Below are 15,550 nucleotides of genomic sequence, written 5' to 3' on the forward strand. Positions count from 1 at the left end.
AAATCAATCAGTCAGTATTGAGAATCAGCTGTGTGCTCAGCCCTGTGCAGTCAAGTGGACAGGGACATATCTTGGCAGAAGACAGACACACACAAAAGAAGGATTGTAAAGTCTAACTAACCCCACAAAAAGATGTTTTAAACCCTTACTCTTATAATATACATACAGCTTATGCATCAGTTTTTCACAATTATTTCTCATGCTTGTCTCTCAAACTTACAAAAATGAGGTCAGAGAGGCCTAGTTAGCAATCACACAGTTCTCTAGCAATCACACAGTCAGCCCTACAGGAGTCCATTTTTTTAACAAGAGAGAATTTTACAGGCTATAGAGAGTTATAAAATTTTAATTTTCATATGCAACATAATAACTCTTAAAGTTGCTTACTTTCTCTTATAAGATTGTCTTTCTCTGACCCAGTTCTGAGCCCCATTTTCCTCTGCTCTGGGTTGTGATCTCTAATAAATCTTTAGAGTAAAGCTGTTATTACAGTGTGAACTGATTGTTCTCTATTCAAATGATATCGTGTGTATACATGCACATGGAGTTTGAAGGGATTCAAATTACAGTGAATAATAAAAATCAATAACTTTAAAGTGAAAAAAATACAGGTTGAACATCTGTAATATGAAAATTCCAAACCCAAACAGTTCTAACATCTGGAACTTTTTGAATGATGACCTGATGACATAAGTGAAAAATTTAGCACCTGACTTCATGTGACAGGCAGAAGTCAAAACTCAGTCAAACCTTTTTGTCATGCTCAAAAAAACTTGAATATTATGTAAAATTATCTTCAGACTATGTGTATAAAGTCAGTGATTATGAAACATGAATGAATTTCATGTTGAAACTTGGGTTCCATCCACAAGATATTTCATGATATATATGCAAATATTTCACAAAAAAAAATGCAAAATCTGAAAACATTTATGGTCCCAAGCATTTTGGAATATGTATATTTAACCTGCAGTTTACATTTACTTATTTTTGACAGACAGTAGTAGTTCAACTCATGTGACACGTAAGAATTGATAGGCATTAAAAAGGTAAATAATTTAAGTGGAATCAACTTATAGCAGACATTGAACTCCACATATTTGCAATTTTTTCTTGTTATTTTATCATTACCATGGAGGTTATGGGAGTTTTAAGGTGTCAGTGACCCACATTACCTTTAATATGTCCCCTTTCAATAGGATATCCCAAAAGAAAATAAAAAGGAATTTTAAGAATGTTAAGATATAGTTGAGCAATGGTTTCAATGATGTCAAAAAGATTCAGGAGAACTACTATACAAAAAATAGAGAATCAGTAAGGAGAAATCTGCTGATGGCCTTTAATTAAGTTAGTGATTTAACTAATGTAACATTTGGTTAGAACAAGACCATCTAATATAGACAGAGTTAAATTTTTAATAATAATTTAGACTATTAGGAGGAGGCCATCAAATATTTGTCATTAAATTGTTGGAGTCTATTCAGTCATGGAACAAGTATTTACTGAACACTTGCTTTAGGCATATAACCATGCACTATAAAGCAAGCTTCCACTATCCATACAGAGCTTGCACTTTATTTAGTGAGAAAAACCGTAAAGAACTAAACAATAAAAATAGCTCAATGTTTTGGTAAGTAACCATTTGGTGAGGTGGAAAATGACAATGCACTGACAGTTCTCTGCTTTAAATAAAATCTGCACATATACACCATGGAATACTATGCAGCCATAAAAAATGATGAGTTCATGTCCTTTGTAGGGACATGGATGAAGCTGGAAACCATCATTCTCAGCAAACTATCACAAGGACAAAAAACCAAACATCACATGTTCTCACTCATAGGTGGGAACTGAACAATGAGAACACATGGACGCAGGAAGGGGAACATCACAAACCGGGGCCTGTTGTGGGGTGGGGGGAGGCGGGAGGGATAGCATTTGGAGATATACCTAATGTTAAATGACAAGTTTCTGGGTGCAGCACACCAACATGGCACATGTATACATATGTAACTAACCTGCACGTTGTGCACATGTAACCTAAAACTTAAAGTATAATAAAAAAAAAAGAGAGAAGCCATCCTTGTCAACTTGAGGTTAGAACTGATCTAAAGGAGAGAAAAGATAAAAAATAGAATAAGAGATAGAAAAGACAAAGAGAATAAATAAATGGAATCTGAAAAATACAAGGAAATGATCAACATAAGAGCAGGAAACCTCACAAATTAGACAGGGAATGACTACTGAAAGCCACTCGGGTAGCAAAGAGGATGGGATATCAAAGGAACATAAAGATCACTGCTCATGATAGTGTGGGAGGAGAGGGAAGAGATAGTGTTAGAGAGTTTTATTTCATAGCATAGAGTTTGATTTTAATTCTATCTCCAATAGAAACTGAGTGAAGTCTTTCAAGGAGGGAAAGGGTGTATAATTTAAGATTTTAAGAAAGGTGACCTGTATTGGATTAGAGAAAGTAAGAGTCAAAAGAAAGAAATGAATCATCCGGAAATATTTTTTTTCTCCACCCAGAGACTCAATAATGTAGCCAAGAATCATTCAGTAACAAGGTTCAGAAATAAGAAGCTGGAGGGTATTAATGCTTTCATTCATACAGATGAGCTCTCTTAATTTAGGAAATGTAGAACTAGAATTGATATTTCATAAATAGATATGATTTACAGCACAAGAAATTGTATATTCTCAAGTACTTTAACATATATTATCTTATGTTATAAACTGTGATGACTTTTAAAAGGAAAATAGCGATCTTTAGAAGTGAGAGTAAAGGTAAGATCTTAGAGATGAGAAGCAGCACACCATGGGAAAAGCAAGAAGAAGGAGGAATGTTATGTGCAATTAATCGGGTCAGGAAAGAGATTGGTATAATGAATGAATTGAAAGGATTTTGTGGGATGAAGTAAATTTGAAAGACAGCAGTGGCAGTTATTAATATTTTTAGATTATTAATCTAAAGATTTAAAAATTATATAACCTGTGCACATTTTTTATTTGTGTCTTGCATTTTTAGAATTATGTTCTAGATATCCTGAAAGCACCATACCACACTAATCCCTTCTTGCACAAATTGAGGAAAGATGTTCATAATCCACAATGCTTTATCCCAAGAAAGAACAATAGATTTTAAACCTATATTGCCAATATAGGAGTGCAACTGACATGTGTCCCAGAAATTGTACCTGGGAAAACTCAAAAATTTTACTCTACCACCATTCTAGCCTCAATTCCTCTGAAGATTAACTCAATTCTATTGTCTTTTGTTCATCTAGTATTACATCTTTAACTTACAATTTAAACTTCCTAAATGCAAAGTTTTCTAACACTAAAGCATTAGTAGTCCATTTTGTCTTACGATTTAACTTGAGAGTTATACAGCTCTAAATAAAATGTTATTGTAAATACTTATAAATCCTTGAAAATTAACTGAATAAAACATGCAATGTCATTCATTATCTCCTGTCCTTCTTAGAGAGAGATCTACATCAAAATTATCTCAAAGAGAAGATTCATAAAACAAATGTGTACGGCTGAGAAATAAATAAACTGAAACTCTCCATGAGTCAAAATGACATTTCTTCTAATGTTTATAAAAGAAACATAAATATTTGTACATTTTTATGAAACTATGGTATGTATATTTGAGGATTCTTTCAAAACAGTTTATGTAAAACGTAATAGAATTCAACAAGTCCAAAGATAAGAAATTGAAATAAGGAAGGGTTCAAGGAAATGACTCAAAGGGAGAGATACAAAGATAGGCATTTGATCTTGGTTAAATGAGAGGAATATTATAAAAATCTACCAAAATCTGAAAATGATACAGATAGATCTTACTCTGAAAGCAACCAGACCTGGATTTTAATTCCAGCTCTAGAACTTACTAACTTGTGTAAACTTGAAATAATTCCAAATTCTCTTAGAGACTTTGTTTTCTAATTTGTAAAACTGAAATTATAATACTTCACAAGCTTTTGTGGAAAAATAAATTAAATATATATTTTATCATAAGGTTCAACATATAGAAGTTACTGAGCAAATATTAATCTAGGTCTTCCTATATCCTGTCTCTAAATCGAAATTCTCCATGATAAATACATTATTAAGTAATAAGTAAATTGCAAAACTCTTAGATTTTGCCAGATACTATAGATAGAAAATATTACTGAAGTTTAAATATTGAAATAATTTACTGATGCCCATAAGTTGTAACTAATTGAAGTTGATGTCAAGGAATAATTGTGCATCTTAACAATAAACTCTTTAATGGCAATTTTAGATTATTACATTGATTAACTAATAGTAAAGTACAGCAAGATTTATGTTGTCAAAATCTTTGGCCATCATCTCTAGTCACTAGAGTGAATATTGAGAGTAAATGTGAAGAATGTTCAAAGTTGTATTTACTATTGAAGGTATTACCTATTTTTAGTGTGAACACCCCTATGTTCCTACGACATAGCCTAGGTGTAAAGGTCACCTTGTGAAGGCAGTGGACAGTTGGTGAAGGCTTGTACCACTGTAACTCTGCTAAACTTAGAAAAGATCTGAAAATACTACTGATAGGTAAGATCCTATATTCTGTCCACAAAAATCAAATGAGAACTATTTGGGTAAGGGAAAAAAATCCCAAATATATTATGTTAAGCCAATAACAATTCACCATTAAGTAATGAAAAATACATATCAAAAAGAGAAGTCTAGGAAGAAAGGAGTTATTTGTACACAGAAAATTCTCATAATAAATATTTAACTTAGTGCCTGAGGTTGTCACCAAGGATCTCACTTTTTGAATTATTGTATTTATTTAAGATCAGAATATATAAAGAATATATAACATTGGTGTTATTTGTAATTTACAGTTCAATCGCTAAAATGTCATTTCAGAGTATGTTAAATTTAAGGTGTAGGCTTTTTGAAAATAAGATTTTCCTTGATGAAATACAAACAGGATTGAATTTATTTTGTTAATTTAATTTGTACATAATAGATTTAGAGACACGACATTAAATCTAGTGAAAAGCATTTGTTATTAAATTTCACATGCCATTTTTCTTTATATTATTTCCTTAGCATTTAAAGAAAGTATAAAGAACATACAGTCCTGTATTATTTTTTGCCTTTGTGTATTAGCAAGTAACCATCATTTCCCAAGCAAATATTGGTGGGCGGTCTCAGCTCTTTCCTTCCCAAAACATTAAATAATTAATAATGTCACCTGCTTCACACTTTTGTGAAACCTATTCTAGATGCTTTATAGCACTTACATCCTTGTGGGAAAAGATACACAAGCAAATATATAAGTAAATAATGTCACGAGGTTGTGTGCAGAAAAATGAAGCAACCAAATAAATAGAGAATGCTGAGTGGAGCTGCAACAGCTACATTAGATACTATGGTTAGAGAAAGCCTCTCTGATAAGATGACAATCAAGAAAAAGCCTGAATAAATAGGTAGGAGGGTGGACGGGAGTTTAGCAGTTACCAACAGGCATGAGGGAAGCAATTGAAAAGACTTTAGCCATGTGTTTGGTACCTTAGAAAAACAATAAAAGGGAGGGAAAGTAATTAAATGAATGACTCAGTTAACTGTGAACTCTAGTGATAGAAGATCTCAGTAGCACTCAATCCCCTTGTTTTTTGTTTGTTTGGTTGTTGTTATTGTTTTTTTTCCCCGGAAATCTGGTTTTCCCCAAGCCTCGCCAATCAATTCACTATTTTTTTCAACCACTAATTACTGAAGATATATCGTTGTCATCTCCTTTGTACACTAATAGTCTAGCTTTGAAATACAGATATATAATTGCTTGCATAGCCAATCTTCTATTTAATTACCTTTAAAGGATTTTTAATTTCTTCTTTATTCTCTTTCATTTAATGTTATTCTACAATGTGTGTAATTTGAGGGTTTTTTTTTTTTTGGCTTGCATTCATTCTAATTTAACTCAATGGGCTGTGCTGAAGTTCTTAGTGGTTGTGTTTGGTTTCAGCTCTTTTTAAAAACCGCATATATTTTACTCCCTCCTCTTCGAATATCAATTACACGAAGTTGTAAATTATGGAGGTTTCATTCACCACTGAATTTTTAGGGTATACCTATCAATTACCCTAATTTTTAAAAATCTTTTCTGTAACTCATTATCTTTGTATCCTCTGCTATTTCTCAATATAAACTATATGCAAAATACAGACAATGGTATTATGAGGTCTTATGTACCCTTCATCCAAACTTTATTTTCTTTTTATGGACAATCTTCTTAAATTTCTACTTCTATCCACATCACCCAACTACTTGTCAATATATTTTGAAGAAAATCCCAGAAGGTACGTCATTTTAGATACAAACATATTTATGTGCATCCAATGAATAAGAGATCTTTTCCTTACGAGGTAAACGCCATACCATAATCAGACAAAAATTACAATAATTTCATAACATCATCAAGTATTCAATGGGTACTCAAATTTCCCTATCTGATATTTCTCCAGGTTTGTTTGTTCGAATTGACACTCACATAGGATATCTACCTATTGAGTTTTTGTTGATGCCCATATTTTAAATTCCTAAAACCACTATTTTACACATGAACTGGAATACTTGTTTTTCCTTGGGTGAGCTTTTGTTTTCTTTTAGGTAGTGGTGAGTTTTCTGAAATGTTTGATGATGTTTGGTTGCCTCCTCATCTTTGTTCTGAGAATTTCTGCTTGCATCTCTATCAATCAGTTGCAGATATTGATGCCAGGGATGTTTCACTGATGCACAGTCAGCTGGTCTGTGCTGGCTTCTGAATGTCAGGTCTCCACATTCCTCCTAGACTTTACATATAACCGAGAATACCTGCTCTGCTTCTCTTACTCCCAAACCCCACCACCGGGGGTTGTGGGAGGAGGGCAGAGGGACAGGGGTACAAATATGCCTGTTTACTTTAGCTAAAGACAAGCGGTGTGATGCAAAGGAGAAGGGGCCAAATCATCTGGTGCTACTAACGCAGGCTCGCAATTGCCATCCTGACTATTACAAGAAGGACCTTCCTGGTTTTATTTTATCTTTAGAATCTGTGCTTGTAGCATGCTTAGGAGTGTCCCCAATTCCGCAATTATATATTTGTACAAGTGTTAACATCTGACTTTCTCTGGCCATTGTAAGCTCATCATCTTTTTACTTTTTCAATATTTCCAAAAGTTTATTTCCTGTCCATGATACACTGCAAGCAAAGTAATAGATATGTATACATAAATACAAAGATACAAGTTTCATAAATAGATACATGGACAGCTAATGTTCCCTCACTTTCTCATGGTACAAAAAAAGCTAAACATATATATTTCCTCTAATACCAAGGAATTCATGGTAGGATATGAGGTGGGTAAGGTGCTTAATCTGACTGATAGATTCAATACATGGCCTATTTATTTCTAACTATAAATTAGGCTAAGTTGTGCTCTCTCTTTCTCCATACAGGTAGATGAATAGATATAGACATATGAGTAAACCATATATCTCTCTATACCTATCTATCTGTGTATATATTATATACATAAATAGATCGATGTAAACTATTTCTATCTATCTAGACATATTATATATATATATATGAAATCTTACATGGGCAGGTAGATAGATATATCTATAGGCAGATAGCTATGTCTCGGTAGATAGATGTATTACAGTTTAGATAGATATGTACAGTTTACACATCTATAAATAGACATCTATAAATAGACATAAATGGATATCTAGATCTACAGATTTCTATACATATCTAGATCTATATCTACAAATAGATAAAGATAACCTTATATCTGTATATCCGTATCTATATATCAACAGATACAGAGTTTACACATTTATAGAGTTTTCTATAGATAACTCTGTATCTGTAACCTCTGTATCTGTATATCTATATGTACCTATCTATATATACACTATATATCTATCTATAGATACATATATCAACTATAATATGTTTTGGATTTATATACAGTTTTGTATTATGAATCTTAAGCTCTGTCACTCTATCTCTCTGTCTCTTTCTCTATGTCTTTATCTATTTCCATCTCAGAGAGACAGAGACAGAAAGAAAGTTTAAAATCAAAAACTGTAAATAAATTCAAATTGGATAATAGCTCAATAATTTATCTCATTTTTATGTCACTTAATTCTTTCTATTATTTGGATATGCATCAATCCTTAAAATAGCTATGACCTAATGAGATGGAAATTGCTCAAGGTAGGAGATCTAGATCCTATTAACTTTGTGATTTTAGTAAGAGTATTGCTAGCTGTTCTTTAATAATGAGGTTAAAACTAAACTTTTAATATGAAGATTTCTAAGCATAATAAAATGTTGTTATCCTTGAGAATTAGATATCATCGAAAGAATATTAAGAATTATGCACATAATTAATTGAAATAAATTAACTTAGTGTTCTAAAAATAAACTAACATAGAGAGGTATATATGTAAATGTTAAGATATATGACCATGATTTCTATAATCATGTATTTCATAAAAATAGAATTTCAAAGACATTGAGAATATTGACTTTAGAAACCAGATTGAAGAAAAAAGCCATGATGCTACCTGCCCACAACACGTACTTTCACCAGATATCTGGAGGCCTGACATATGAAAACAAACATTTTTTTTTTTCTTTGCCTCATAGAGCATAGTGAAAATTTTGTGGGTGTAGTTAGAGAGTACAAACATCAAATCATTAATCATGTTATTAAAAAGCAATACTGTCTAATAAAAATTAAGCAGTGCATTTCAGTTTTCAGAATTATCCAAGCAGAGGCTAACTTATTCAAGCAGAGGCTAAACAGATGACAATTTATTCACCTGTTTACTTAATTGTAGATAGAATTCATGATTTAAGAGAATGCGTGATAAATGAGTGAGCGAGTTTTCACTAACACTCCTTCCTGCTTTAAGGTACTTTCATTTTATGTTGTTATATAATGAACAATGTTGTTACATATTTATTTTACTATTTTATTAAATTATATATAATTCATATAATTACATATGAATTTTACTAGGGATAGGTTAGTATGAAAAACAGTTTATAGAAGGTTTACATTAATTGAAAAATAACCTTTTGTCATACTTTTGTTTATTTCGCCTTACAAGCTTAGGCATTTAAAACTTGATTTACCTGAAAGTTGTTTCTTACATTACAGACATCCACTAATGGCTTTATTGCCTGTCTAATGGTCATTAAGTGAAAATGGGCATCTAGAATAACACAGCTGGGGTCCACTTTACCAAGATTCTTTTTAACACAGTTGGATATCTACATGATGTTCATACCCACTGTTCTTTCTGAACATTAGTGCCCCATAACTGTCTTTTACAATGTAATTCATTTTCTTTCTTCACTTAACTCTGTTGAAGGAATCAAAAGGCTGAACCCGTAGTTGTACTAAGAAGGGGAGGGCAAATGGTCTTGAAGAGTAGAAACACCTTACTTTAGAGGTAGCATTAAGATGAGCTTCTATTGACTTGAGCTTAAAAATTAAAAAAAAAAAAATTACAATCTCAGTAGTGCATTTCAAAGGCTCAGAATTATTGATTCAGACATAAACCCATGTTTAAAAATGCTAACACATATGCAGTGTAACTAGTTTTACCAACTGGTATACTGTTTCCCATAATGCAAAATTTACTCTTGTGTTTATTTTTTTTGTATACTAAAATATTGAGATTCTTCCCCGCAGTGTCCTGAAGCCCTCAATGTTCGTATATCTCTTTAAGGTATCTTATGTGTATGAAATATGGCTCTAAAATGCTAGATTTGGCCAACAACAACAACAACAAAATCCCCCCACCTTTTTTTTTTTTTGAGACAGAGTTTTTCTTTTGCTCTTGTTGCCCACACTGGAGTGCAGTGGCGCAATCCCAGCTCACTGCAACCTCCACCTCCCAGGTTCAAGCGATTCTCCTGCCTCAGCCTCCCAAGTAGCTGGGATTACAGGCATGCACCACCACGCCCAGCTAATTTTTTGTATTTAGTAGAGACAGGGTTTCACCATGTTGGTCAGGCTGGTCACAAACTCCTGACCTCAGACGATCCACCTGCCTCGGCCTCCCAAAGTGCTGGGAGTACAGGCGTGAGCCACCATGCCGGGCCCACAAAAATCAATTTTTAGAGCTGTTCAGTTCATTATGTTTAGAAGAACAGATAAATTGTATACAACAATAATATAGCTATATGTTATAGTTATTGTGTTTTTCAACAAAATAGTTTATTTGAAGGATTGGTATGTTGTTAACAGATTTCTTAAATATAATCATACTTGGATTATGAACTGTCAGATTAAAAATAATATTAGTGCTTGTATTTTTCTGTGTGTGTGTGTGTGTGTGTGTGTGTGTTATGTTTTCACTAATCGAAGAAGCTTGCTGGTATTTCTTTCTTGGTCCTTGGATACACTCAGGCTTTCTTTCTAATACAACTCCCTCTATGCAGATATACTCAAGATGAGTCCTCCCTATCTTGTGTTTAATACAAGGTCATGTAATGCAATATATTTAGTTAATTATACCTAACTTTTAAAAAGTCCTTTACGTGAACCTATAATTATATGTATTTTTATATGTTACTATGTTCTAAAGGTGTTTGATGTTTAAAGTTCATTTAGAAATGTTCTTATAAGTAGAATTACTTCAACCATCTGTACAGACTAGCAAAATATTATTCTAAGTGTCTCCTTATGTTTTAACCTGAACTCTCTCTCTGCTTTAATTGCAATAGCTATGGCAACCACCCCATCAATGACAAAAATCCTAGAAGGATGTATGTATAGGAAGTTGAAGTGTTGAGAAGAGAATGGCTCAGAGTCAAGCGGGAACAAGGTAAAAACATCAAAAGGTTGTACTGGTGATAATGGCCAGGTGTGTGCCATTAGTGCCTCCTTGATATTAAAAAAATATATGGTGGATCAACTACATGTTAGTCAATTCCAGCCTAGCAATCAAGAGGATATTGAAAGGGAACTTTTCAACAAGATAGCAAATAAGTTAAGTGCATGGACCATGGACTTTCTCTCCAATCTACTTGATATCTAAGCTTCACTAAGTATCCAGATGCCATCTTGTGATGAAAGAAAATGCCATTCTTAGTAAGAGGAAAGACATAATTACACCACATATGTTGCGATACACTAAACACATTTCTTTTTTTATTACATGTAAATTTAATTTCTCCTACCTTTTCCAGCTTTGAATCATTAAATCCTGTGTAGGTCAGATGCAGTTAAAAACAAATAGGTCTTTACTCAACCATGACTTTAAAATTAAGGATTAATGTGTATATATGGAAAAATGTTTATCTTTAAATTCACGTTTTGTAGAAATGAGCACACGCTTACTAATAACAAAAGTTCATATTAACATACTAAGAAGGCTTGAAGAATATAAAATACATTTGGAGAGACTAAAATGTAAACTTTATTGTGATAAGCCTATTGCAGGAAGAATGCGTGATACAGATATGCATAATGTGATGTAGGGGAAGTATTTTAAAACAAAAAGAAACAACTTTTGAGATACCAATGGTGGGTGTGAGTTGTGGGAGAGATGGGTAAGTAATGCAGAGCAACAAAAATGTCTAGGAATGCACAAGTAAGCATGCTGGTTTCCATTTCAGATTCAAACTTCAGAGAGAGAGGGAAGAAAAACATTTAAATATATCTGGCATAATCCAAGACTATTTACGACAAGTGTTCTGTGTTTCTAATAATAAAACAGACTTCACCTCGGAGTACCTGCAGAACTGGGACCCCAATGACCAGGGAGAATGAAGAACAACTTGTTGAAGGTATAGAGAAGGCAGCAAATCATACAAGAAGGTCCATCCCAAACCAGAGATAGTATAGATAAATCTCTCATGTTAACTATGGAAAAAATAAAGGAAGATGACGTATTTTAATAGAAGGGAAATTGCGCTTATTGGGAGTAAGAACACTGAATTGACTGAATATCTTAAAGAGAGTTAGGAAGTGAAATTCTCAACAGGTGATTATTCTTTGACCAATTTTGTCTTATCTCTTATCCACATTCTTCCCTGCTCTTCCCAATACATGTGTAAGAATATCCAAGGGCACACACATACCATAAGCAGGAATGGTGTCCTAAGGAAAGTCAATATAGAGAGTAAGAAGTATATCTGTCACAATGTGTACATGTATACATCCTAAATATTTGTACAATTAATTTACTTCTCTTCATTTCCAACACTCCTAGTCTATGCTATGAACATCTCTTACCTAAAATGCTACAGATGTCCCCTAAATTTTTCCATAAATCAGTTTTTTCCTCTCCAAGCTGTAAGCAGAAATGCATTTTTAAATTGCATATATGACCGTGACACGTATCTGTCTCAGTTTATAGAACAGGTCTCTAACAGGGCCAGCAGCTTCCAGTCACTTCTGTCCCTTACCTTTTCTCCAGTCTCATTTTACATATTTTTTTACATGCTCTCTATATTCCTGTAATTAAATATTACTTTCCCCTCAATGCCTTTGGACTGCTTCTTTCCTCCACATTAAATACTTTTTACCACTTCCCTCAGTTCAGTTCATTCTCCTCCGTGTTTAGAGCTCAGCTCAGATATCCTTTTCTCATGGAGACATTCTCTGGCCAACCCAGACTAGATCATTTTCCCTTGCTGTATACTTTCATACCTCCCTCTGTCTTTCCTTCATAACACTTTGGTAAGTGTGTACAACTGCATCCTTGTTTTTATTTAATTTCCTCTCACTGCCATGTTCTGTAAACTCAATGCAAGCTGAGTCTGCCTATTTATTTCACTATGCGACACCTAACTCCTAACAAAGTATTAAACAAAATAGGTGCCAAAATATCTGTTAAGCCATTGTGTGAATGTATAAATGAATAAAGATATGAATACAGATACACTAGTCTAAACACGTTTGCATGGCACATACCTATATGTGTTCCAAATAGATAACAAGGAGAATCACAATTGATCATTGCCAGAAGAAAAATCTGGTAAAACTTTTACTTTCCAGATATTTAAATAGCATTCATGTTAAAATTTTTAGTTCACTTTTATAATGCATTGAAAATACTTAGGGACATTATTTACTTATCAGAAGTTTATTTTACTCTTTGAAAATATATTGCTTACTGGACTATTCACAATAGCAAAGACATGGAATCAACCTAAGTGTCCTTCAGTGGGGGGACTAAATAAAGAAAATGTGGCATATATATACCATGGAATACTACACAGCCATAAAAAAACAAAATTATGATTTTTTTTTTTTTTTTGGCAGCAACATAGATGCAGCTGGAGGCCATTATCCTAAGTGAAATAATGCAGGAACAGAAAACCAAATACTGCTTATAAGGGAGAGCTAAACATTACTCATAGAAATAAAGATGGCAACAATAGACATTGGAGACTACTAGATGGGGAAGGGATGGATTAAAAGGGCTGAAAAACTAACTCTTGGGTACTACGCTCACCTCCTGGGTTACAGAATCATTCTTATCCTAAACCTTAGCATACACAATATACCCAGGTAAGAAACTTGCACATGTACCCCCAAATCTAAAATAAAAGTTGAAAATTAAAAATATATGCATATTGCTCATTGAGATAGACTACATATTGAGAGATTAGCTCTATGAAGATAACATGAACCCTAAATTGTGTGATTGAGAGAATTCTACACATTTATTGGCCTTCATTTTAGATAACATGTTAAATAATTCAATAATGAACATTTGACTGTGCAACCTCTTCATATAAATGTGCATATTAGTCAAGGGGCTGTATTATTAGCTTAACAACTAAAGTCTATTTTTTTTTTTGCATGTGCAAAGTCCAATGTAGAGGTGTCTGGAAGATCTTTCCTAAATGTGACTCTGTCACCTAAGTGGATTGCATTGTCATGGAAGCCACTATTTCAAGCTGTAGCCTCTAAAATCTCTACAGCCAGGGTTGGGACTAATATTCAACCCTTAAACTATCATTGCATTGATCAGTAATCAATCACCTAGTTATGCCTCACTTCGATAGAGCTAGGAGAGGCAGTTTATGGCTGTATCAGAAATAGGATGAAGGTGCCTGGGCATGGAGGCTCACGCCTGTAATCCTAGCACTTTGTGGGGCTGAGGCAGAAGGATTGCCTGAAGCCAGGATTTCGAGAGCAGCCTTGGTAACATGGTGAGACCTTGTGTCTACAAAAAGTAAAAATAATAAAATTTAAAAAATACCCAGATGTGATGGTGTGCGCCTGTAGTCCTAGCTACTTGAGAAGCTGAAGTGGGAAGATTTCTTGAACCTAGGAGTTCAAAGCTGCAGTGAGCTATGACCATGCCCCTTAAACAGTGAAACAGTGAAAAAAATAGCATAAAGGAATATGTACTGTAATATTTAAGTATTGGATTTTTAGTAATGAAAAGTTTCTAATGGTTAACTGTGTTTCCCCACAAAGATACGTTTAATTCCTAATGCCATGTACCTGTGAATGTAACAATATTTGGAAATTAGGTCTTTGCAGATATAATTATTTAAGATGAGGTCCTAATAATTTGTGGTAGGTCCCAATTCCATATGACTGCTATTCTTATAAGATGAGAAAACAGAAACACAGAAAAAAGGCTTGAAAAAATACAGACATAGAAAGGCAGAGACTGGAGTTGGGCTGCTACAGCCAAGGAATGCTTGGGGCTCCCAGCCGTTGGGAGAGTCAGGGAGATGCTCCCCTACAGGATTAGAAAATATATGGTCCTGCTCACATATTCATTCTGGACTTGTAGCCTCCACAACTACAACTATGAGACAACAGATTTATGTTGTTTTAAGCCACCCACTTTCTGGTACTGTGTTACGGCAGTCCTCTAAGATGAGAACAATATAGAAAGTCAGTCATATCCTTCCAGAAATTAACAAGCTGGAATCACATTTTATTCATTGGCCTAGTAAATTCCTTTGCCATTCTCAGTATTTCTAGAAAAATATCGGGTTGTTGTGTTTTATTTTTATTTTTTATTTTTTGTCTGATAATGAAAAGGATAAAAAATCAGCTAAATAACAGGATTTTTGTCATTTGAGGATATCACTTACTAACAAGAGCTTACATATTTGAATGGACCAACAGGTAAATAACAGGTACCTGTAGGCCATCCGTATTGTCAAACTAAGTGTAAATTACAAAACATAGAAGACATACTTAGGATTCAAACAATAAAGATTCAGAGAAGAGCAATTGCAATCTCTCTCCTATGCACAGAAAACTGAGTGAAGCATTTTATATTTTAATTTGTGTTTAGTGGTGATGACAAGCTCATCAAAGAATGGAACATTGATGCCTCAGCATTATAGGAGACATAATCTTCATAGCCCTAAATGCTGCACAGGCAGGTACAGAATTGGGCGCATGTCTCATGGTGGCCAGCAGCTTGCCTTCATAGAAAGGATGCTCGTTGAGCAGAACTCCATGCACTGGTTACCATGCCAGGGAAGGACTCCAACTACATGGAGGATAGCAAAGCTCATCCC

At 33.7% G+C, this 15,550-nt stretch overlaps 1 non-coding gene across 10 annotated transcripts in view; it reads left to right on the forward strand.

Annotated features, from left to right (window-relative positions):
- Positions 1 to 15,550, forward strand: part of ATXN8OS (ATXN8 opposite strand lncRNA) — a 64,318-nt gene that overhangs the window by 11,592 nt on the left and 37,176 nt on the right. For 4 of the 10 annotated variants that reach the window (NR_002717.3, NR_185836.1, NR_185840.1 and 1 more), the window contains exons 3-4: positions 10,772 to 10,872; positions 11,666 to 11,836. This is a non-coding gene — a non-coding RNA (ATXN8 opposite strand lncRNA). Of the gene's footprint in view, positions 1 to 10,771; positions 10,873 to 11,665; positions 12,939 to 15,550 lie in introns of those variants that run through there. The other 6 variants (NR_185834.1, NR_185837.1, NR_185835.1 and 3 more) reach the window with 2 other exon arrangements.

This window comes from Homo sapiens, chromosome 13, assembly GCF_000001405.40.
Source record: "Homo sapiens chromosome 13, GRCh38.p14 Primary Assembly".
Taxonomy (NCBI): domain Eukaryota; kingdom Metazoa; phylum Chordata; class Mammalia; order Primates; family Hominidae; genus Homo; species Homo sapiens.